Genomic DNA, 24,974 nt, shown 5'->3' with positions numbered 1-24,974 from the left:
TTTATTTTTACTTGATGTTTAATAATATATAAGCTTTTATATTTTACATATATTAAATATTTTTACTGGCTTTTTAAAATTAAAATACTGCATTAATATTGGTATTTTAGTATTCCATGAAATAAACAGTGAATTATCAGTAATATTTTCATTTTGCTCTAGAATGGGAATCACTAAATCATAACAGTGAAAACGTATATTTAGTCGGGCCTTACAGTGTTACAAAAATATAAAGTCATTTTAAAGGAACCAAAATCTATTCAGAATGTGTTTAGTCTTTCCATATCACAGAGCTATACGAGATGTCCTTCTAAGCTGTCTTATTGTTCATAGTGTGCAAGTTGTGGTCTAGTGGAATCTCAAAATCACCAGGGTCAGAGTGGCACTGAGAGTACCTGCATTAGTCTGTTCTCACACTGCTATGAAGAAACACCTGAGCCAAAGTATATAAAGAAAAGAGGTTTAATTGGCTCATGGTTCCATGGGCTATACAGGAAGCATGATGGCCTTTACTAACTTTCAATCATGGTGGAAGGCAAAGGGGAACCTATCACTAGGAGGATGGTGATAAACCATTAGAAACCAACCCAATGATCCAGTCACCTCCCACCAGACCCCACCTCCAGCCCTGGAGATTATAATTCAACATGAAATTTAGTGGGGACAGAGATCCAAACCATAGCAGTTATCTACTATTGTGTCCGGAATTGGTGGGTTCTTGGTCTCACTGACTTCAGGAATGAAGCTGTGGACCCTCGTGGTGAGTGTTACAGTTCTTAAAGGTGGCATGTCCGGAGTTTGTTCGTTCTGATGTTCGGATGTGTTTGGAGTTTCTTCCTTCTGGTGGGGTTCGCGGTCTCGCTGGCTCAGGAGTGAAACTGCGGACCTTTGTGGTGAGTGTTACAGCTCTTAAGGCAGCGCGTCTGGAGTTGTTTGTTCCTCCCGGTGGGTTCGTGGTCTCGCTGGCTTCAGGAGTGAAGCTGCAGACCTTCGCGGTGAGTGTTACAGCTCATAAAAGCAGTGTGGACCCAAGCAGTGAGCAGCAGCAAGATTTATTGCAAAGAGTGAAAGAACCAAGATTCCACAGTGTGGAAGGGGACCTGAGCGGGTTGCCACTGCTGGATCAGGCAGCCTGCTTTTATTCTCTTGTCTGGCTCCACCCACATCCTGCTGATTGGTAGAGCCGAGTGGTCTGTTTTGACAGGGCGCTGATTGGTGCGTTTACAATCCCTGAGCTAGACATAAAGGTTCTCTAAGGCCCCACCAGAGTAGCTAAATACAGAGTGTCGATTGGTGCATTCACAAACCCTGAGCTAGACACAGGGTGCTGATTGGTGTGTTTACAAACCTTGAGCTAGATACAGAGTGCTGATTGGTGTATTTACAATCCCTTAGCTAGATATAAAGGTTCTCCACATCCCCACTAGACTCAGGAGCCCAGCTGGCTTCACCCAGTGGATCCTGAATGGAGGCTGCAGGTGGAGCTCCCTGCCTGCCGCCGGCATTCCTCAGCCCTTGGGTGGTCAATGGGACTGGGTGCTGTGGAGCAGGGGGCGGCGCTCTTAGGGGAGGCTCCGCGGCACAGGAGCCCAGGGAGCGCGGGGGAGGCTCAGGCATGGCGGGCTGCAGGTCCTGAGCCCTGCCCTGCGGGAAGGCAACTAAGGCCCGGCGAGAAATTTTGAGCACAGCAGTTGCTGGCCCAGGTGCTAAACCCCTCACTGCCCCGGGCGGTGGGGCCGGCCGACTGCTGGGAGTGCGGGTCCGCAGAGCCCACGCCCACCCGGAACTCGCGCAGTCCTGGTTCCCCCCAGCGCCTCTCCCTCCACACCTCCTGGCAAGCTGAGGGAGCCGGCTCCGGCCTTGGCCAGCCCAGAAAGGGGATCCCACAGTGCAGGGCGGGCTGAAGGGCTCCTCAGGTGCCGCCAAAGTGGGAACCCAGGCAGGGGAGGCGCCGAGAGGAAGCGAGGGCTGTGAGAACTGCCAGCAAGCTGTCACCTCTCACTATCACTCATAGAAAAGCAGAGGATAACTAGTCTTCTGACTCCAATAATCAGCCTTTCCCTTTAGCACTTTTTTTTTGTTTGTTTTTAGACGGAGTCTCGCTCTGTCGCCCAGGCTGGAGTGCAGTGGCGCAATCTCGGCTGCAAGCTCCACCTTCCGGGTTCACACGGTTCTCCTGCCTCAGCCTCCCGAGTAACTGGGACTACAGGTGCCCGCCACCACGCCCAGCTAATTTTTTGTATATTTAGTAGAGATGGGGTTTCACTGTGTTAGCCAGGATGGTCTAGATCTCCTGACCTCGTGATCCACCCGCCTCGGCCTCCCAAAGTGCTGGGATTAACAGGCATGAGCCACCCCGCCCAGCCCCTTTTGAACTTTTACAGTGAGAGTTTACATCTGGGATTTTCCCCTCCAAGCACTGCATGGAACCCATTCAAATCTGGTCTTAATTTTGGAGTAGGGCTGGCCTCATGGGCATATGACTTGTGCAGTCACATAGGACCTATACTCAGAAGGGCCCCTTGCTTGGTTTAATGCCATTTTTGCCACCTTGAAATTCTTTCTTCTTTTTTTTTTTTTTTTAGAAGGAGTTTCGCTCTTGTCCCCCAGGCTGGAGTGCAGTAGCGCGATCTCGTCTCACTGCAACCTCCGCTTCCCAGGTTCAAGCAATTCTCCTGCCTCAGCCTCCTGAGTAGTTGGGATTACAGGCTCACGCCACCATGTCCGGCTAATTTTTTTTTTTTTTGTATTTTTAGTAGAGACAGGGTTTTGCCATGTTGGCCAGGCTTGTCTCGAACTCCTAACCTCAGGTGATCTGCCCGTCTCAGCCTCCTAAATTGCTGGGATTACAGGCGTGAGCCACCGCACCCAGCCGCCATCTTGAAATTCTTAGTAATTTTTTATTTTTTATTTTTGGAGACAAGAGTCTCGCTCTGTTGTCCAGACTGGAGTGCAATGGCGCCATCTCGGCTTACTGCAGCCTCTGCCTCCCAGGTTCAATAGATTCTTCTGCCTCAGCCTCCCAAGTAGCTGGGACTATAGGCACCCAACACCACACCCGGCTAAATTTTTTGTTGCCCAGGCTGGTCTTGAACTCCTGAGCTCAGGCAGTCCGCCCGCCTCGGCCTCCCAAAGTGCTGGGATTACAGGCGTGAGCCACCGCACCTGGCCCTTAGTAATTTTTGAACAAGGAGCCCTGCATTTTTATTTTGGACTGAGCCCTCAAAATTCTGTAGCCAATGTTGTTGCAGTGGTTTGCTTTAACAATATCAGGAAGAATGATACGTATGTGTAATGCATGGCTAATTTTTTAAAATGTGAGATTCGTGCTTATTCCACTTGGATATATTTAGGCACTAAGACAAAATGTCCCTGGTCAGAGTTGAAGCTACACCAGTATTTGAAGTGCTAAAATGTATTCCTTCTTTCCATTAACACCTCTCTTCTCCTTCCTGTCCATTAAGATCTTTATGCTGCTTCCTGGACTTCTCTCAGCCCCTCTCCCCGATGTCCCACCATTTGCCCACCATGAAAAATACAATACACATGTATATTGTTCATTTACACACAATGCTATCAATACATGCCCCTTTTCCATTTCCTGCATTGTGCCATTGGAAAGCAACCTCAGAAGCTATTTTAGTAATTCTTCTGAGGTCTTTTCGTCACGGCCTTCACCACCATGGAAATGGTGTGGATTTTTGAGAAAGTTCTCAGAAGAGAGCACACCTGCCTCAGGCTTCCCCCATCCTCACTAAAATGCCGTCTTTATTCTGTCTTACCAAAGATCCTCTCCCCGCCACGGATGAGGGGAAAGAAAGCAATGACAAAAAAGAGAAAGTATCACATTTTTTCATGCGCTCATTCTTCAGACTCAACCCTTTAACCTGATACATTGATTTTACCTTTGAACATTTTCATGTAAACAAGTCCTTGCACTCATTTCAAAATCCTGACTCCTTGGCCATCCATGCCTTGTCATGTGTTCTTAGCCTTATGTTGATACACACATGGGCCTTGTTGATACACACGTGAGCCATGTGACACTATTTGGCTCCTTTATTATCCAATATCTTAATATTTTGTAGTAGGAAAAAACAACACAGAAACATGGCCATGCCATTGCTTTCTTCCTTCCTCTCTTCTTTCCTTCTTGCCGTCCCTCCCTTCCTCTCTTTCTCCCTTCCATTTCAAACTTCTCCTTTGGAAGCAAGTCTGAAGATTTTGTTTCCTGTTGAAATAGTGAAAAAAAAAAAAAGAAAAAAACCTTTCAGTTTGAAAGACAAGGATATTATGGGCTGTGTGTGCAACCATGAAGCTGCTATGTCAGCAAAAGCCTTTTGTTCACCACAGGAAGCAATCTGATCATAACAACTTCCTTTCAATATTCAATACAACTATTGTCCCTGAAGCTTATCAGATAGACAAACTAACAGAAATCCACATTGGCAACAAAATATAAATGATATTTTCTGTAATCACTAAACTATACTTCTCTCAAAGTGACTCTAGTTTTTTTATTTTCTCTGTTTATTAGCATGTATTGCTCACCGATTTTGGTGAAAGATTTGAAAGTGGAGTTTGTAAACAGGTGACACTTTGATTTGTTGAATTGAAACTGCATTTGTGACTTGAAGCAACTGACAAGAAAGAGAGAGAAATGACTATTTAGATGTTTGTGGCTTCCTACACTGCTCCATTTCCAGTAAGAATAGTATGTAGGCAGTAACTACAATATATCTGTGATGTCAGCTTCATCTGCAAAGTCAGCATTGTTTTATTCCCCCAAAAAAGTTTTTTTGAAACCACAAATCATGTCGATGCCTTTTTGTTTTTAATTTGAGGGACTTTTATCCTTTCTATGTTATCTCCAGCTCCCCTACTTCACATTAGACAATTATTTTCTGCTTAGCTATTATACTAGTAAGCACCAGAAAGACAATCCATCACCTCTTGGGTTAAGAATAATGACTTAATCTCTTGTGGAAAAAAACCTGTCTCCGGCATTCTTTGTGGGTGATAATCTTCTTATTGGAATTCCTCAACCCTTCCCACATTCCCCATTCTCTCCCTCCACATGAGCAACACTATATTGGACAAAGAGACAAACCACTGTTTCTCCTTCTTTGCTTTTCTTCAGTCTTAGTTTAAATGACATTTCTACTGAAGGGATCCAGAATATACCCAGTATGCAGAGTCATTAAACTTCCTTACTGCTAGTTACAGTGAGGTTTTGTTGTTGGTATTTTTGTTTGTTTGTTTAGTGAAATGACTTTTTCTTCCAGTGTTTTCTGTTCTCCTTTCCCTTCTTCACTTAGTAACTCATTGTATCTCTTCAGATCCCTTCTTGAAACATTCCCGTTCCTGTTTTTTTTGGACCCAGCTTGACTCCCACACAATCTAATTCCCTTTACACTCCTCTTCATGTACTTGCCAAGGTTGCAAATGTGCTTAATTGTATCTTTTCTGCATTCAAATTTTAGTTCTTCTCTTTTTTGTGTTTAAAACATTCAAGTTTTTCTTAGAATAGATTACCCAGTCTGTTCCATTCTACTTTTTCTCTTAGGTTAGAAATAAAGATAAACAGAATAAAGGACAGTAGATTTTTATGACACAGAGCTAAGTGGTTTAGGGCTTACATTTTCCTTAGTCCTGTGAGTTAGGTGTCTCTTCAGCCATCGTGTAGAGTCTCAGGGCATATGTCACTCTGGTGTATGGGAAGTTTGTTCCCAACAAGCCAGGGAGGATTTTTAGACATCATATACTACAGGGAGAGGAAGAAGATTCCCAGAGGAAGCTGCAAGACATGGATACAAGAATGGAAGAAGAAAAAAGCTAGCTGAGAAATTAGTTTGATGAGGTCATAGTTTTGAACAGATGTAAAATTGCTAGTTTGGTCTCTGTTATTCCTATAGCTCAATTCCTGGTGTACTCTTCTCAATGCACCTACTTCTTTGGGAATCCATCTAAGTCCCCCCACCTGGACGGATCAGGTATCTAGTGTGAAATATTGCACCACATCCCTTTAACTTCCTTGGCTTTGCGATTTCACAGATTGAAGCAGCAGTAGTAAATTTGCCTTTCACTGGTTCCCTCTATACGTGAACCTTCCTTGCCCTCTGAGGCTCTGATGACCAGCTGCATGGTGAGGCAGTGTGCTCAAGGTGCCCCCCAGCATGATGGTATTTGGGTTCTTATGCTGGATCTGGGGCTGATGCCAGCGACAAGCACTAGCTGCACTTTCATGCTGGTGACAGGCAATGCTAGGTTGTGAAGTGTCCCTTCAGACAGAGATTGCATGAAAACAAGATGGAAAACATCAGTGCTATTGCTATGTTTCAGTCTCAAAAGCAAAGCAAGCAGTGTCTGTAGTGTTCCCTTGAAAGTTTTCTCTAAGACTTTGGCTAGCATACTGGGAAATTTTGTCTTCTCATACATATATCTGAGAAATGTTGACAGTTGGAACCTGAGCTAGGGTACGGTTGACAGGTCAGTGAACTCTGTATTATCATAGGGAGTTTCTTTTTTTTAGAGAGAGTCTCACGTTGCCCAGGCTAGAGTGCAGTGGCTATTCACAGGTGCGATCATGGATCACTTGAGGCCAAGAGTGCAAGGCTGTAGTGTGCACAGCCTTGAATTCTTGGCCTTAAGTGATCCCTGTCCCAGCCTCCTGAATAGCTGGGACTACAGGTACACACCACTGTGTCCAGCTAGGGAGTTGAAGCCTTCATGTTACAGATAAAGAAATTTGGGGCTAAAGGAGGTTGAAAGACTTATTAAACATCACACAACTTGTCAGTGGCAGAGCCAGAGCTAAAACTCTGGTCTCTGAACTCCTGGCCTAGTATTCTTTGCATTATAACACACTGCCCAACAGTGCTTGTGCTTGCATCTGCTGGCTGGCCCAGGGTGCCAAGAGACAAAGGCCAATGACGTGACATACCTTTTTAATGTAATTGGGCTTCTTAATGTTATTTTTCTGGACATTATGGATAATACTTCTATCTCTCAATATTCTGAATAAAAATATAATGCATACTCATTATGGAGAATAGGAAACTTGGAAACATAGAAGAAAATAATATTTTATAACTTGATTATCCAGATAGGATCACTATTAATATTTTATTTCTTTCTTTTTCCCCACCTGTGTGTGTGTGTGTGTGTGTGTGTGTGTGTGTGTGTGTGTGTGCCGGTGTATTCATGTGCATTTACAAAATTGGGATTATATATTTTGTATCAGCTGGGCTTCTTTCTTTAGTGCAAATAACAGAAACTGACCCAGTTACAAACTTAAGGAAGGAAAGGAATTTCTTGGCAGTCCACAGAATAAAAAACACCCAGGCTTTGGAAGATTAGGACCCAGGAAGGTTCAGGGAGCTCTGCAGCAGAAACTCAGAGCTGCTTTTTTCTCAGAATAGAGAATAATTACTGGGTAGACCAAAATAGCACTGTAGATAGATGTCCCAGCTTTGAAATTCACAATCATATCTTGGATGAGTACAGAGTTTCTTTAAATTTCTCTGTAACTGAATTTATTTTGTCACTAGTTCAGTGCAACTCTGTCTGTCTCTTCGAGGTTATTATCACATTTGAAGTTCAGCCTCCCTCTCAGGGCTATTTTTCCCTCTCAAGATTTTTCCTTTCTACCACTTCTTCTCCCCTTCCTGGTGGCGGTCTTTGGGAATAGAAAAAGCTCACGCTACCACCCTGCTGCAAGGAAGGCATATCTGGTCTTTGTGTGACCCTCCATTCCTTCCTGGCTGTGAAGTCTTGTTTACATGGATTTTGCCTATGGGTTTGTTCTGGACACTGGGCAGTGCAGTGCAGAGCAATTACTCCCAGGAGTTTGGTTATCTTCTCCTGCTGCTGCTGAGAACCAACTACCCCTGGCTTTAGTGTGGGACCTCCCAATTCTCTGCTATGTCTCCCCTGCCCCCACTCCCCACTTTCCCCATAAGCCAGCTGTCGCATTGTTCCCAGATCTCTCCCATGCCCCTTTCAAGATTTCAAGAATGCCCCATGGGGATTGTAGGGGCTGGTAGGGTAGGAGCCTCTCTCAGCCCCCACCCCACCCCAATCCTGACTTGGTGCCATTCATACTCTTTGCAGCCACCCTGCGTTATCAGTGGGCATTCTGAAAGTGGCTCCTCCCTGATTTCATGTAGGAAATCTAACAAAAGTACCTCTGCTTTTGTTGTTCAAGATAGGGTCTTGCCATGTTGCCCAGGCTGGTCTCAAACTTCTGGGCTCAAGTGATCCTCCCACCTCAGCCTCGCAAAGTGCTGGGATTTCAGGAATGAGCCACCACGCCTACCCCAAAGTACCTTCTTTTCTCATGTCAAGAAACCTATTTGGAAAGAGGCCAGTCCCCTCAGGGACTTTTCCTACATCTGACTTTCTTCTCTTTTTTCCCTCTTTCTCCATGCTCTTCCCTGCAGCCCAGGAAGGGAATTATTCTTCTTCCTTGCTATCAGGCAAGAATATATTAAGTACTGCATTATTTTTATTCTGTGATTAACTTTTGTAATCTCTGTGCTCTCGTCTTCTAGATTCTGCATCAGTTTTCCAATCATGTTCGTTTTTATTAATTCAAAAGAAAATCCTTCTCTTTCAATTGCCCAGTTTTTTTGTTTGTTTGAGACAGGGTCTCACTCTGTTGCCTAGGCTGGAGTGAAGTGATGTGATCCCGGCTCACTGCAACCTCCGCCTCCTGGGCTCAAGCGATCCTTCCACCTCAGCCCCCTGAGTAGTTGGGACCACAGGTGTGCGACACCATACCCGGCTAATTTGTTGTATTTTTCGTACAGACAGAGTTTCGCTATGTTGCCCAGGCTGGTCTCACTCCTGAGCTCAAGGGATCTGCCCAGCTTGGCCTTCCAAAGTGCTAGGATTATAGGTGTGAGCTAACACACTGTGCATGGCCCAGTTCTTACATATCAAAGGTGCTTTGCTTCAGGGTGATAAGCCTGCTATGAGTTAAAACACATTTAAGCATGCAATGGATTTCTCCTCTCCCAAAGACAATGGCTCTGATTGACCCAATGGATGGATTCAGTATTAATCTAATTGTTATAGGGCAATAGAAATAATTTGTGAAAAGGAAAAAACCCTTTGGTTAAAATTTTCCAATGACAGCTCCACATTCAATTTGATACCCTATGTTTTCTACTACCAAGATAATTTTTTAATCCAGGGCTGCATCGGATTTGCTTAGTCATTCTACAACTCATTTAACCTTCCTCCTATGATTGAATATTTAGAAGATTTTGTTATTATAATTAAGATTGTAACTAACATCCTTGGACACACATTTCTATATGCCTCTTATTCTATTTGACAAGCATTTTAGTGGGACAGTTATTGGATCAGAAAGTTAAAATTTGAAAATATTCTTCATATATGTTGCAAAATGGTTCCCAAAAAGCTTGTTCTCACATGTGCCCCAGCCAACAGTATAGGAGGGCTTGAGACTTCTTACACACTTGCTGACATTGAATAATGATTTAATCTTAGCCTCTTGCAGCCCTCATTAGTTTATAGGAACAGAAAGGGCATATATTAAAAACTAACTTCAGTATTGCCCTTTTCCCCTCTTGCTAGCTGATGTAAGACCTCTAATGCTTTTGGAAATTCTCACTAATCCCTGCGACCAAGGGTTTCTAAAAGCACCAGGGCTTTCATGCTTGTGCTTATATTCCAACCTCCCTCTGATTGGCTTTGCCTCATCTAGTAGCTGAGGTTTGGAGCTTCAGAGGGTTTTGTGCAAAGTGTAGGACGATGTCTTTTCCCTCAGTGTGTCACTGTAATAGACCCGAAGCTGTGCTAGTATGTTCCAGTGCTTTAAAGATGTTGATGAAATTGCTCTTTCAGATTTTTTTCTTTATCTTTTTTTTCTGGATGCCCTCTCTTCCTTCCTCTGTAGGAGTTCAGTGAGGGAACTCGGCTAGAAGACAAATCTGAATGACAGATCCTGTTTTCCTGGGCTGAGCTCATTATTTCTAATTTCTTCCTTAGAATATATTCTTTTCCAAGAGGCTCTTCAGTTTGCATACAAATCGGTTTTTTGCAAGCCCACCTCATAACTACAACACTGATGGGGATTGATTTTCACTTAGACTCAAGCTGATGTGCCTATTACAGCATTTTTAAAAAAAGATTTTTAATTTGATAAGTGAAAATAATATCTTGTAGGTTTTTAAATTTGCATTCCTTTACTATTAAGGAGGCCAGGCATTTTTCTGTATATTTATTTCTAATTTCTGTTTCTTTCTTATGAATTGTCTGGTTAAGTCCTTTCTCATTATCTCAAGGTGTTTTAGTATGAGATTTAAGAATATTAGATATATAAGCCCTTGAGCTATCATATTAGTTAGAAGTAGTTCCCCTTTTTTGGTCTTTTCATTTTTATTACTATATGTACAAAAGTTTAACATCCTATGGAGTACCTTGTTCATGGATAGGAAGAGTGAATATTTTAAGGACAGCTCTACTCTCCAATTGGTTTATAGATGCAATGCAATTCTAATCAAAGTCTAAAAAGGTTCTATGTAAAACCTTACAGGTTTACTCTAAAATTTATATGGAAGAGGAAAAGGCTAAAAGCATCCAAAATACACTTAACGAAAAAGAGCAAAACAGGGAGGTTTGTCTCCCAGAAATTAAGATTTATTGGACCGGGCGCAGTGGCTCAGGGCCGGGTGCGGTGGCTCACACCTGTAATCCCAGCACTTTGGGAGGCCAAGGTGGGCGGATCACCTGAGGTCAGGAGCTCAAGACCAGCCTGACCAACATGGAGAAACTCCATCTCTACTAAAAACACAAAATTAGCTAGGCATGGTGGTACATGCCTGTAATCCCAGCTACTCGAGAGGCTGAGGCAGGAGAATCGCTTGAACCTGGGAGGCAGAGGTTGCGGTGAGCCAAGATTGTGACAATGCACTCCAGCCTGGGCAACAAGAGTGAAACTCCGTCTAAAAAAAAAAAAAGATTTATTATAAGGCTATAGTAATTAACACAATGTGGGATTTGTGTTGGGATAAAATACTCAGGTGGGAAAGGAGTGACTATTCAGTACATGGTGCTGGGTTAATTGATTACCCATAAGCAAAAAGGAGGAATTATCTTACTACACCAATCCATACATGAACATAGATTCTGTGTGAATTAAAGACTAAACTGTGAAAGATAAAACTTTGGAACTTTTAGAACACAGGACACTATCTTTACAAAAGAGGGGTGGGAAAAGATTTATAAAACAAGGCTCAGAAAGCACAAACCATAAAGAAAAAGATTAATAAATTCAACCATATTAAAATTAATAATGGCCATTTATCAAAAGATATTATAAAATAGTGCCCAGATAAGCCACAAAGTAGGAGATGACATTTTCCACACATATAACCTAGAAAGGAGTGGTTGGCAAAATAGGTAAAGAATCTCAAAAAGCAATATAACACAAACACAAACAACCTGACAGAATAATAGACAAGAGATAGAACCAAAAATATTTCTCAGGGAGGTACCTTGAGACTTGAATACCTATAAACTGGCTTCTCTGTCCTTTTGACGTGTCACAATCAGATTTTTCATGCTCATTTGGCACACTTTCTGCTCCAGCTCTTGAATCAGCCATTTCTCCAAGGAACCCTGGTTCCTTTGGGGAAGAATGGTATTTAGAAACCATGATTTGCATGCTGGGTGCAATTATTACTATTGGGATATCACCGTTCTTTCTCTGTGAATAGAGCTAGGGGATATTTGCATACACACACTTATATCTATGTTTATTTCCCTTTATATAAATAACACTGGAAATCACTGCATTTGCACTGATGCCTATAGTTGCCATCTATCACCACAAAGTTCAGTCTCATTTTATTCCTGGATCTCATTATTGTTAGTACTTTTACTTATTTGATCAGTTCTCTCATATGCACCACTCTGCCTTTGCCACCATCATCACCTCTCACAACAAAGACTTCTTTATATCACTTGGGCTCCAACATTCCCTGCAGGGCTACTGTTGTTGGACGCCATTGTGTGTATTCCCTCTTCATCCTACTGAGGTTCCGACAACCTGAGTCAGGCTACCCTCATGCCTGCGTACCCTCCTCACCCTGCCCAGCTTCCAACATCTATGCTAGGCCTTCTCCTATGCAGATGCTCATCTTACCCTCATCTTACCACCATGGCTTTCCCTATCCTGCTGCAAATGCCTATCCTATCCTACTTGTCTCTGCTGAAAGGCTTTATAACCAAATTCTTCTGGAAAAGAAGGAAAGAGAAAGAAGAAAGGCAAGAGCTACCTATAGATCTTTATGGTTTCATTTTTACTATTGTCTTTTTAATCTATGGGAATGCGGTATGATTTAAAGATAATTTTACTTATATCAAATCATCATTTACTAAATAATTCTTTATATTTCCATGTAAATAGCTTTTTGATTAGTATAATGCACAATGTTGAAAAAATGACTATTTTTATTTTTGAAGATAGTAGTAGAAAGACAACCTGAGGAAAAAGGAAGCAAATTGTTTGAGATTATGTATCTACAACTAAAGGAAGAAAAATAAAGCTGAATTTTCCCAAGACCAAATTTTTCTTTTAAGAAGACAGTAATATAATGTCCCATTTGGAAAGTTTTAAAATTAAATAGTGAAAGCTATTCATTAAAAAGTGAAGCCTTAGGATGAATAAACGTAATCGTGTCTGGGTTCTGTGACTGAATACATTAGTTGCATGTGGAGGATTGTTCTGTTATACACATCTGTTTTCATCTAGAAAAATAAACAAAAAAGCCCTTTCTTACCCTTGGCTCCACTTCTTTGAATTATGTCAAGTAAAATTAAACATTGAAAGGCAAAAGTGTCCAAAGAAAGCATGAATTTATATGAGCATATTTACTGTTATAAGTATTATGTAAGAAACTGCCTGCTGAGTGTTCAAGAGGTTTTTTGGTGTAGACTATGCTTTTCTATGCAACACTAAATTATTTATTAGATAGTTGTTGCCTTGAGCCAGACTGTCTCCCCATTTTTCCTACATCAATTGAGTAGAAAACCTCATAGTTGTCAATCTCTGGGGACAAGGGGAAATAAAATGTCCTATTATATTTCTTCCTTATTGCATTACTATAGCCTCACTATGAACTTCTTCTGGGTTACATCTTATGATTCTCTTGAGTCTACTTTATTCCCTAAGAGCACAGTGGCCATAGACTTGATAGGAATCTTCTGGGTTTATCTATCATATTTGATAAGATGTTTTGACGTGTCTTGTACCAGATTATAATAGACAAGCAAAACATTTTGAAATTTCAGCCCTGGGAATTTGGTAGATCACATTCTTTTGGCTCAGCTTGTTTTTCATTTTTCCCTTTGAGGATTGTTTTACTACCAAAGTAAATTAAAGAGTATTTGGAGACATAGATATCTCATAGCATAAAATGTACACTGGGCTGTGAGTCTATATATAAAGGAAGAAAAAACAAAAAAAAGTACACTCATTTCAGTGTAGTCTTGGGCAGGGTGTGGTGTTTATGCCTGTAATCCCAGCACTTGGGGAGGCTGGGGCAGCATAGCAAGACACTGTTTCTAAAAAAAACAAACAAAAAATTAGCGAGATGATTACTTGAGCCCAAGAGTTTAGGGCTGCAGTGAGCTACAATAGCGACACCGCAGTCCAGCTGGGATGACAGAGTGATAGTTTGTCTCAAAAAATATATATATTCTTGGATTAATTAAGTGTATTGTTAATGTGATACAAGACAGTTAACTTAGGCTGTATCTTCATGTGATGCTTGGGTTGCCCATTTTGAATGAATTGTTAAAACTGTCCAGGCAGTAATTAGCTTGTATTTTTTTCTGTAAATTTTCAAATTTTGTAAACTCTTTCTGGAACTTTCTGGCTTTGGTAGGAGAGTCTCAGGTGATCACTTCTCAGAAACAAATTTCAAGGGGCCATTTCCGTTCTCTTACCAACAAAACTCAAAATGGAAACAAGGACCTAAAAATCAGGATAGGAAAAGAGTATTAAGCCATGTATATAGATGGACATGAATCTGTGGCATTGGTTTTCTAAGTCCCAGGGTAGAAAAGTGACCTCTTCCATCAGCAGGGTCAGACGTTTTATCCTTTGCTCCTAAAGATGACTGGAGAAGGTATGAACTGATCTTTTAAAAATCAGCTTTTTATTTATTTATTTTCTTCTTCTTGTTTTTGTTTTTGTTTTTGAGACAGAGTCTCGCTCTGCCACCCAGGCTGGAGTGCATTGGCGCGATCTCGGTTCACTGCAACCTCCGCCTCCTGGGTTCAAGCAATTCTCCTGTCTCAGCCTCCTGAATAGCTGGGATTACAGGTGTGTGCCACTACGCTTGGCTAATTTTTGTATTTTTAGTAGAGATGGATTTTCACCATGTTGGCCAGGCTGGTCTCGAACTCCTGACCTCAGGTGATGGGCCTGCCTCAGTATCCCAAGGTGCTGGGATTACAGGTGTGAGTAGTGACTCATGGCCTGATTTTTGAATAATTTTAGATTTACAGAAAGATTGTAATGATAGGACATAGTTTCCATATACCACTCACTCCGTTTTTCTTAATGATAATATCTCACAATACCATTGTGCATTTGTTAAAACTAAAAGGCAACATTGGTACATCACTATTAATTAAACTTCAGACTTTTTTCAGACTTCACTCATTTTTCTCTAATGTTTCTTTTGTCTTCCAAAATCCAACCTGTGATAACACATTGCATCTAGTTGTTATGTAACAGCTTGCGTGAAATGTTGGGAACTTAGGCAAGCAGAAGAAAAATATTAAAAAATAAATTTATTCTTAAAGAAATTCTGTGGTTAATTTTATAACTAAGTCTTTTCTGTATTGGTGTTGTGATGATTCCTGAAAATGTCTAAGTGACATACTAGTTATATTTCAAAAAATGTGGCATGCATAGTCAAAGATACTGCAAAGAGTATAAAGACATATAAGACAGGGCCTCTGCCTTTTAGAGAGGTAAATAATATAAGGAAACATTATGTGGTGGGGAAGACAAGTATTAATGAAGAGCCTTGAGAGCTGTAAGGGAAATAAATTTAGTGGTTATGGCAACAGGATCCCTGGGGAGGTAGAAGAGGGCTGTGTCTTTAGAGGCACCAGGGGCTCATGATTCTAGGAGAGTAATGGTGCTTCTGTGAGATAAACAGGAAAATGGGGACATTGGAGGGGATTGGTTCCTCTCTTGTGAGAGAAACATGCTCACAATTCAGGAAGCAAATAAGGTTGAGTCCATGGGGCATGAAGTCCACAGAGGTGGGAAGTCCAACAGTGGGATAGTGAATAGGAAGCAATATTTTAATGAAATATGTTTGCTCAGTAACTGTTGGCTCCAAACCACTAATACACTTGATTTTAAGGTAATACCATTCAGAATCAGGCTACAAAGTGGTACACACCTGTGGTCCCAGATACTTGGAAGACTAAGGTTGGAGGATCACTTGATCCTGGGAGGTGAAGACTGTAGTGAGAAAGACCAAAGGTACTTGCAGAGCAAATATTGTCTTAGGATATCACAGTAGGGGAGATATTTAGCCCACTAGTTAGGAATCTCAAAAGGATGGGTACTGGTGGAGATCTCCATTTTGGTTTTCTACTGAACCCTCAGTACTGTACTTTTTTGAACAATTCATTTAAAATTTTTATTTCTTTATTTTATTATGGTATATACATAGCAAAATTTACCATTTTAATCTTTTTTAAGTACACAATTCATTGGCACTTAGTACATTCACATTGTTGTGTAATTATCACTGCTATCCATCTCCAGAACTTTTTCTTCATCCCATGCTGAAACTCTGTACCCATTAAACAATAACTCTTCATTTTCCCCCCCTTTTACCCCTCGTAACCAGTGTTTTACTTTCTCTCTCTATGTATCTGGTTACTCTAGGCACATTGTGTAAATGAAATCATACAGTATCTTTCTTTTTGTGTATGACCTATTTCACTTAGCATAATGTTTTTAAGGTTCATCTATATTGTGGTGCTCTACTTATATTCCTTAAAGTAGTCACAGTCAAATTATGCTGAGTTTGTTTTTTTTTTCCTGAGGCAGTTCATAGGCTAAGATAAATAGCAGGACACACAAAACACACATTGGAGGGGAAGAATATGCAAAGTCATTAGTAGAGGTAGGATACTGTGGTAGCCAACACAAAGGCCCCAATCCCTTAACTGCTAGAGGTAGAGCTGGAGATTGTGGACCAGGCAAGGAAGGACCAAGCCACAAGGCAGAGGCCACTGGTGTGAGGCTGGGATACTGGACTGGGATGGAGATGTCAGGCAGGAAGAACCTGGTAAACCTGTGGGCCCAAGAGTAGTAGTGCTTATGGAGGTCATTGGAGATTCAGAAAAGTGGAGGGAAAGACTCTCCAGTGAGTGACTCAGATACCTAGGAGGGAGAGGCCACTTGGCTCAGGTGCCAAGGAGGGAAAAGATAAGAGTTCAGTGGATCCAAGAAAGTTTTTAAGGAAAAGGTGGTATATAAATGAGTAGCATTTGGATAGGAAGAGAGGACTGGAACAATGATTTACTCCAGAGGAGGTGGCGTTAGGACCGATAGCTGGAAACCACAACATGCTTTTGGACCTAAGTAGACCAGTTTGGTTGGGGCTTTATGGAATGCAGAAGGAGATAGGGGTAGAAGCCAGTTATTGGCAAATAAGTTATTCAGATTATTTGGAAAGCAACAGACATCAGTAGAAAATGTTTATCTTTTCCTTTGCCTCAACTGTCATTGAGCTTGATTAGAATAGTTAGCACTTCTTGCCTTATAGTAGCTTGGGAAATGTCTCCATCTCCTAGGAGAATATAAACTACCTGAAGGTAGCACCACTTTAAAGATAGTGTCCCTTGTAGTGTGAAGCACAAAGTCTTAAATTCTTTATTCCTCATTAAATATTATTTGAATTGAATGGTAATTAGATTAAGGATTTTGATGGGAGCTTCTTTGCCCTGGAGCTTTTAAAATTATATATATATGTATGTATATATATATGTATATATATAAAAATAATATATATAAAAAATAATATATATATGTAATTAAAAAAATTTAGAGACAGAGGTCTCACTATGTTGTCCAGGCTGTCTTTGAACTCCTGGTCTCAAGCAATCCTTCTACCTCAGCTCCCTGAATAGCTGGGATTACAGGTGCAAACCATCGTGCCCAGTGCCTGCCCTGGAGCTTCTTGTCTAAGACAATGGGACCCAGTTTGGAGATGAGTGGCTCCTGTCACCATTTCCTACTGGTAAGTGGGATCTTTGGCTGAGGCTTCCTGGCCTAATGTCCAGCCTTCTCTTGCCATTCAGCTCTCCCCTCCCCCAATCCTGGATGCTTTGTGTCAGGAGAAACCATGGCTTGCCATCTGTGATAACTCCAAATCCTGTCCCCATTTCACATTGGAGATGCTTCCCCTGGTGGTAACTTTCACCATCCCTTTCTATACTACGTCTCCCAGAGGATTAGATTAATCCCCTCCAATCTACCTCAAGTTTAAAAGCTGTTTAGTTGCTGCCCTCTTGGTGAGGGAATCAGGGAGTTCACCCTTCAGAAACCAGTGCTTCCTCTTTCCTGCAGTGGGTCGAGGAAGAGATTCTTTATTCTTCACTGACAAGTTTATAGCAATAATAGTAGTATCAACAATAATAGCAAAATAACCCATAACAATGACCACCACCACCTCAAAACAACTCCAAGGCATCATCTTTTTCCTTACTAATTCATCTGATTGTAGACCATGTACCCTCATCGAGGGGATGTGAATGTATCCTCAGCGTGAGGGACCTTAAACATGATTGTAATGTAATAGGCTCAGATAGAATCAATTACTTTATGACTTGCTTAGGCAAAGACTGATTAACCTTAGGGTTTGATAAACAGAGTGGAATCTGGAGGAAAAGTAGCCAGTGAAGGAAAATTTTTTAGTAAATCCCCAGTGCTCTTCAATTTAAATGGTCTGGTCATGTTGACAGGTATTGTTATGATGAAAAGGGATGTGCCAAGTGATAGCTTGGTGACCATGGAGATCATCCAGCTCCCCACTTTTGCTATGATTTCTTCTGTGTTGGTCAGTTCCAGATTCTGCATGGTCCAGATCTCATCATGGTTGCTAGGCAGCCCTGAGAAGTCCTACTGAAGTGGCCAGTCAGCCTCTCTAAGTAGTCTTCTTGTCTCATTTACACCCAAGTTCAAAAAAGACATTTCTGTTTATATGAAGATGACCACAGGAAAAAGATGCATTTTCTCTTGGTAGATGCTATGATCTGAATGTTTGTATTTCCCCCAAATTCATTTATTGAAACCCAGTCACCAATGTAGTGGAGTTGGGAGGTTGGGCCTTTAAGAGATGATTAGTTCATAAGGGCAGAGCCTTCAGGAATGGGATTAGTATCCTTATAAACAGAGGCTCCAGAGAGCTTTCACCATGTGAGGATGTGGCAAGAAGGTATTTTTTGTGAATCAAGAAATGGGCCCTCACGAGACACCAAATCTGCCAGTGCCTTGATCTTGGACTTTCCAGCCTCCAGATCTGTCAGAAATAAATTTCGGTTGTTTTTAAGCCACCCAGTTTATGGTAAATTGTTATAGCAGCCTGAACAGACTAGGACAGTAGACTCTTGTTTTCCCACTGTGTGCTGTGGTACATATTGGTGACATGGGTAATTGCTTTACCTATGAAATGGAAATGTTTCACTCATCCATTCATTCATGCAATAGATATTTATTGAAAGTCTGCTATGAGCTAGGCACTATTCTAAGTGTTGGAACTACAAAAATGAATCAGATAGGCATGGTTTCTGTCCATGGGGCTTATATATTAACCCAAATCAGAAAATCCTGACCTTTCATTTAAATCTTTCTCTTTTATTGAGTTCTCACCCAAGGTTCTTAAATGTCAGACTGCTTGTATTTGAATCTATTGTAGATTGCCTGGACACAGCCCTGAAGATTCTGATCAAGTGGATCTCAGATAGAGCCAGGAAGTCTGTACTTAAAAAAAAAAAAAAAAAGGAAAAACAAAACCAAAAGCCCCTTGAGTAGATTAATATACAGCCAAAAGCCCCTTGAGTAGATTAATATGCAGCTAGGTTTGAGAGCCAATATTAAAAAAAAATTCTAATTATTTAAAACTAAACTTGTGGATGTGTCTGAATCATATATGGATGATGGGAACTAAGCACATAGACAAACATTATAGGGTGTCAAGGAGGAATTTTCCTTATGCCATGTAACTACTGCTAAGACCCAAACTGAGGACAAAAAATACAATGTGTTCCATATTCTAAATTTATAGAGTCATCAGAAATTGGAATCAGCCATCCTTCTGCAGGGCTTTCTGAGATGCCCCTAGTTAGGGAATTGGCCCAACCACCCATCGCTGTTCCCATCTCCCAGGGGAGGTTGGGAGAGAGGAAGCCAACCTCTTGGGGAGTATGTGTACAGACTATTCATTCTCTCAAGTCAAGTATGTGAGAGAGGGGAGCTCGAGCAAATAACTTGAAAAGAAGCAAATAACTTGAAAAGAAAAATAAACAGACATTTTGTTTCCTGGCTGTATGACCTTCTGAAGTAGTAGACTTCCTGATGTGCTTTATTTGCTACTGAAATGTGAGAAAATAGAATGCAGTGGAGAAGGCATGAGTGGGGCCTTTCTAGGTGGAGGTGGGGGCCGGTGACAATGGCCTCCTCCTTCAAAATAGGGGTAAAGTCCTCACATGCCTGCAGACTTGAGAGTTGGTGCAGAGAATATGAGATTGGAAACCACAAATGTCCCAGGATTGATGCAGTGTGGGGGGCAATGAGGGGCTCACCTGTGGAGAATGCCACCAAGCCTGCATCTGCCAAAGAAGGTAAACAGATCTTTCATCTAAGGGAAAACTTAGAGCCACCTCTGGTCCTCATCGAGCCCGGAGACAATAGGCTAAACTAGTGGTTACCATCAACTGCAGAGAGCATAGCAACAGTTGTATGCAGAGATGCTCATGCTTCCTTTTTGTTTTCTCCTTTCTCCCTTTCCCAATCCCAAAGGAGGTCACACCCAGAAGAAGGAAGAGGTTGGTGGTGGTGACAGAGAGTTAGAACTCTTCCCTTCACCCAACCCTACTTCCCCCACCCCACCAAATTCCCAAAACTTTCAATCTAAAACTGAAGGTCTAACCTCTTCTGGGTAATGGGACATGTAGAGTTATGATTGAATATAAAATCGAAGTGTTTAAATGAATAGGACTAAGTCTGAAATATCTGAATGAGAGTGTTCTAATAACCAAATTAGACTGAAAAGCACAAAATTAGGCAAGATATATTTGGGGGGTTACCGTTCACCAGGAAAGTTTGGGGCATTTACTGGAAAAATAAAACCACTGTGTGTCTAAGTTGGGTGTGGTGGTACATGCCTCTAGGCCCAGCTACTTGGGAGGCTGAAGCAGAAGGATCACCTGAGGCCAGGAGTTTGAGGTCTCAGTGTGCTATGATCACTCCTGTGAATAGCTGTAGCACTTGAGCCTGGGCAACATAGTGAGGCCAATAAACAAACAAAGAACCCCCTCAAAATATTGTATGTTCATAATGAGTTGAGATGCCTTAGTAGACTTAAAATATTTTATTTAAAGGTTTAAAAATAATTATATGTGCCATATCACGGAATTCAAAATATATAGAAGGATAAAAGTAAAAGATAAGTTTTCTTTTCTGGTCCTCTCCCTCAACTATGCAATTTTTATGTTGTTTTTTTTTTCTGAAAATATCATGGAATTGCTTTATATTAAAACTTCCAATAGTCATCTAGTTCTATATCAGTTCTATAGCATTGATGAACATATGCAAGAAATATATGGGTTAGATATATTTCCACATTCTATGGTTACATTTCTTTTCCAAAGTTTCCTTTTCTCTCTGTGTGTTTTTAAAATAGTATCAACTTTTGTTTTATTATAGATTCAGAGGGCACAAGCACAGGTTTGTTACATGAGCATATTGTGTGGTGCTAAGGTTTGGGGTACGAATGATCCCATCACCGAGGTAGTGAGCATAATACCTAATAGGTAGTATTTCAGTCCTTGTCCCCTCCCTCGCTCCCCCTTCTAATAGACCCGAGTCTATTGTTCCCATCTTTATGTCCTTGGGTACCAGAGGTTTAGCACCCATTTATAAGTGAAAACATATGGTATTTGATTTTCTGTTCCTGTGTTAATTCACTTAGGATAATGGCCTCCAGCTGCATCCATGTTGCTACAAAGGACATGATTTCATTCTTTTTTATGCTGCATAGTATTTCATGGTGTATATTTTCTTTATCCAGTCCACTGTTGATGGGCACCTAGGTTAATTCCATGTCTTTGTTATTGTGAATAGTGCTGTGATGAACACACAAGTGCATGTGTCTTTTTGGTAGAATGATTTATTTTCCTCTGGCTATATACCCAGTAATGGGATTGCCAGGTCGAATAGTAGTTCTGTTTTAAGTGCTTTGAGAAATCTCCAAACTGCTTTCCATAGTGGCTGAACTAATTTGCATTCCCACCAACAGTGTATAAGCATTCCCTTTTCTCCACAGCCTCACCAGCATCTGTTGTTTTTTTACTTTTTAATAATTGGCATGCTGACTGGTGTGAGATGGTATCTCATTGTAGTTTTGATTTGCATTTCTCTGATGATTAATGGTGTGGAGCATGTTTTTCATGTTTCTTGGCCATTTATATGTCTTCTTTTGAAAAGTATCTGTTCATGTCCTTTGCCTACTTTTTTTTTTTTTTTTTTTTTTTTTTTTGGCAACAGTGTCTCACTCTGTTGCTCAGGCTGGAGTACAGTGGGACGATTACAGCTCCCTGCGGCCTCGACCTCCCAGGCTCAAGTGATCCTCCCATCTCAGCCTCTTGAGTAGCTGAGACCACAGTTGTGCCACAATGCCTGGCTAACTTTTATTTTTAACTTTTAGTAGCGACAAGGTCTTACTAGGTTGCCCAGACTGGTCTCAAATGCCTGAGCTCAAGCTATCCTCTTGCCTCAGCCTCCAAAAATGCTGGGACTATAGGCATGAGCTACTGTGCCCAGCCACTTTTGCCTGCTTTTTAATGGGGAACCTACTCCAAGATTGACCACATGCTTGGCCATAAAGCAAGTCTTAATAAATTCAAAAAAGTTGAAATAATGCTAACCATCTCTTGGCCCAGAGTGGAATAAAAATATAATTCAATACCAAAAATATTTTTCAAAAGCACACAGTTTTATGGACATTAAACAATTTGCTTCTGAATGACTTTTGGGTAAACAAAGAAATCAAGGCAGAAATCAAAAAATTCTTTGAAAATAGAGATACAGTATACTAAAATCTCTGGGATGCAGCAAAAGCAGCATTAAGAGGAAAGTTTATCACACTAAATGTCTACATTAAGAAGTTAGAAAGATCTCAAATTAATGATCTAACATCACATGTAAAGGAACTAGAAAAAAACTAACCTAAAAGCTAGCAGAAGAAAGGAAATAACTAAAATTGGAGCCAAAGTCCAGGAAATTGGGAACCTAAAATCTATATAAAGTATCACCAAAACCAAAAGTTGCCTCTTTGAAAGGATGAACAAGATCAATAGAATCAATAGACCACTAATTAGATTAACAAAGAAAAGAGAAGGTTCAAATAAGCATGATCAGAAATGACAAATGTGACATCATAACTGATCCCACAGAAGTACAAAAGATCATCAGAGACTATTATGAACACCTCTAGGCGCACAAGCTAGAAAATCTAGAGGGAAATGAATACACTCCTGGAAATGAAACACATGACCTCTCTGGACTGAATCAGGAAGAAATTGAACCCTGAAGAGACCAATATCAAGTTCCAAAATTAGTAATAAAAAAACCTACCATCCCCCTAAAATCCCTGGATAAGATGGATTTACAGCCGAAATCTACCAGATGTACAAAGAATAGCTGGTACCAATTCTACTGAAACTATTCCAAAAACATTGAGAAGGAGGGACTCTTCCTATCTTACTCTGTGAAGCCAGCATCACCCTGATACCAAAATCTGGGAAAGACACATGAAAAAAGAAAGCTGCAGGGCAATATCTATAATGAAGAGAGATGCAAAAATCCTCAACAAAATACCAGGGTTATCTTTTGAAAGCTATTGCCATACAGTAGACATCATCATTTCTCTGTGACCCAGTGAATCTCATTTTAGTGTTTGAAATTCCCCAGAAGCAGATGTTCAGAAAAATCTTCAGATTTTTGCTTTGTAATTTTGAAACTTTGAAACAGCTATTCCTATATTGTCTTACGTTTTGCTTATTCCCTATATTTTGTTTATTCACATAAAATTGGTTTATTCATTGAAGATTAGGTGCTTGTTCAGAGACTAACTTACTTCAGAAAGAATACTCGTAAGTGTTGAGCTCCATTCCTGGCTCCTCTAGTGATTTAAGATTCTGTGTTTATATTGTACAACCTTTATACTCACTTTTCTCCGTTATGAAACTGAATAAAGACAACTTGCTGTCTTCTACTTTGTACAGTGAGGGAAAAGCTTTGTTAGCCAGGAATAACTTTGTTCCAGGTCAAGGGTAGAGGTGGAGAAGTTCACTTGTTTCAGTGACTGGTTTTTAAGACTAGGGTGTGGGTGGGGTTAAAAAAAGTTTTCGCTGGCCTTAGGTCAAATTAAAATCTAGGTAACGTGAATACAAACCTGGGAACCTCCTCACTCTCATCCCTCTAGTCTAAATTGAATTTTAGCACTCTGTATTTGCTTGTGTTTCGTTTTCTTTTTCTTATTTTATTTTTTAATTGAGATGGGGTCTCACTCTGTCACCCAGGCTGGAGTCAGTGGCATGATCTTGGCTCACTGCAGCCTCTGCCTCCAGGGCTCCAGCCACCCTCCCACCTCAGCCTCCCAAGTAGTTGGGACAACAGGAGGGCACCACCACTCCTGGCTAATTTTTTGTATTTTTGGTGGAGACGGGGTTTCGCCATGTTGCCCAGGCTGGTCTCGAACTCGAGCTCAAGCGATCTGCCCGTGTCAGCCTCCCAAAGTGCTGGGTTTACAGGCATGAGCCATCATGCCTGGACTGCTTGTGTTTCTTTATGTCAATGATAATTATTCAGCTTGCTAACGCCTGAAGAATAGAGACTATAAATTATTTTTGCATACTCCACAACACAAACCTGAGTGTTTCATATATGGCAGGTACCAGATATTAGGTTGGTGCAAAAGTCATTGCGGGCTTTTTTTTTTTTTTGCACCAACCTAATTTAAATATTTGTTGAGTGATAGGCTAATGTAGGGTTAATTATCTAATGGATAGGAAACTAAAACAACAGCAGCAGAAGCAAGAACAACAACAACAACTTAAAAAAAACTAATTCAGTAATAGAAAGGGGAGAGAGAGTGTAAATGGCAGTGTTACATGACCAGAAACATGTTTAGGAAGATGAATATGTGCAAAGCTGCCAGATTTAACAAACAAATATACGGGAAACCCTGTATCTTACCTGGCAACCCTAGTATGGTGTTAATGTAGACTCTTTAGAAGACTTGAGAAGGAAGACAATGGAGATAACTAGGAGACTACTGAAATTATTGTGGGAGAAGAAACTTTCTGACAAATACATGTGCAAGAACTGAATTGAGGGCACACTGTGGAGGTAGAATGTACAGGACTTGCTGACTGGATGTGGAAGGTAAGGTAGAAGTGAAATCAAGTGATTACTTCAAGATTTTTAATTTAGATTACTAAGTAGGTGATTGCATAAAAATGATATCCAGAAAGCTAGGAGGAGAGTTAGAGAGTAAAGGGATTATCTTGGTCAATTTTGTGTTACCATAACAGAATATCTGACACTAGGTAATTTATAGAGAAAAAGGTTTATTTTTCTTATGATTCTGATGGCTGTAAAGTTCAAGATTGGGCATCTGCAT

The 24,974-nt window shown here is 40.8% G+C and overlaps 1 protein-coding gene and 1 non-coding gene across 6 annotated transcripts in view, besides 1 other annotated feature; both read left to right on the top strand.

Annotated features, from left to right (window-relative positions):
• Positions 1-24,974, top strand: part of MAPK10 (mitogen-activated protein kinase 10) — a 583,670-nt gene that overhangs the window by 44,935 nt on the left and 513,761 nt on the right. The gene's annotated exons all lie outside the window — the stretch shown is intronic.
• Positions 1,274-1,774: an enhancer, noted in NCBI's record as "H3K4me1 hESC enhancer chr4:87468519-87469019 (GRCh37/hg19 assembly coordinates)". NCBI's record gives its function as "activates a minimal SCP1, AML or CMV promoter by ChIP-STARR-seq in primed H9 embryonic stem cells {active_cell/tissue: H9 hESC(primed)}" and the evidence as "EXISTENCE:reporter gene assay evidence [ECO:0000049][PMID:30033119]".
• Positions 6,588-6,658, top strand: MIR4452 (microRNA 4452). Its single transcript, NR_039657.1, has one exon. It is a non-coding gene; the product is annotated as a microRNA 4452 (primary transcript).

The sequence above is a fragment of the Homo sapiens genome, chromosome 4 (assembly GCF_000001405.40).
Source record: "Homo sapiens chromosome 4, GRCh38.p14 Primary Assembly".
Lineage (NCBI taxonomy): Eukaryota > Metazoa > Chordata > Mammalia > Primates > Hominidae > Homo > Homo sapiens.
The sequence above is the reverse complement of the archived record's forward strand: the minus strand, read 5'-3'. Positions and strand labels throughout refer to the sequence as shown.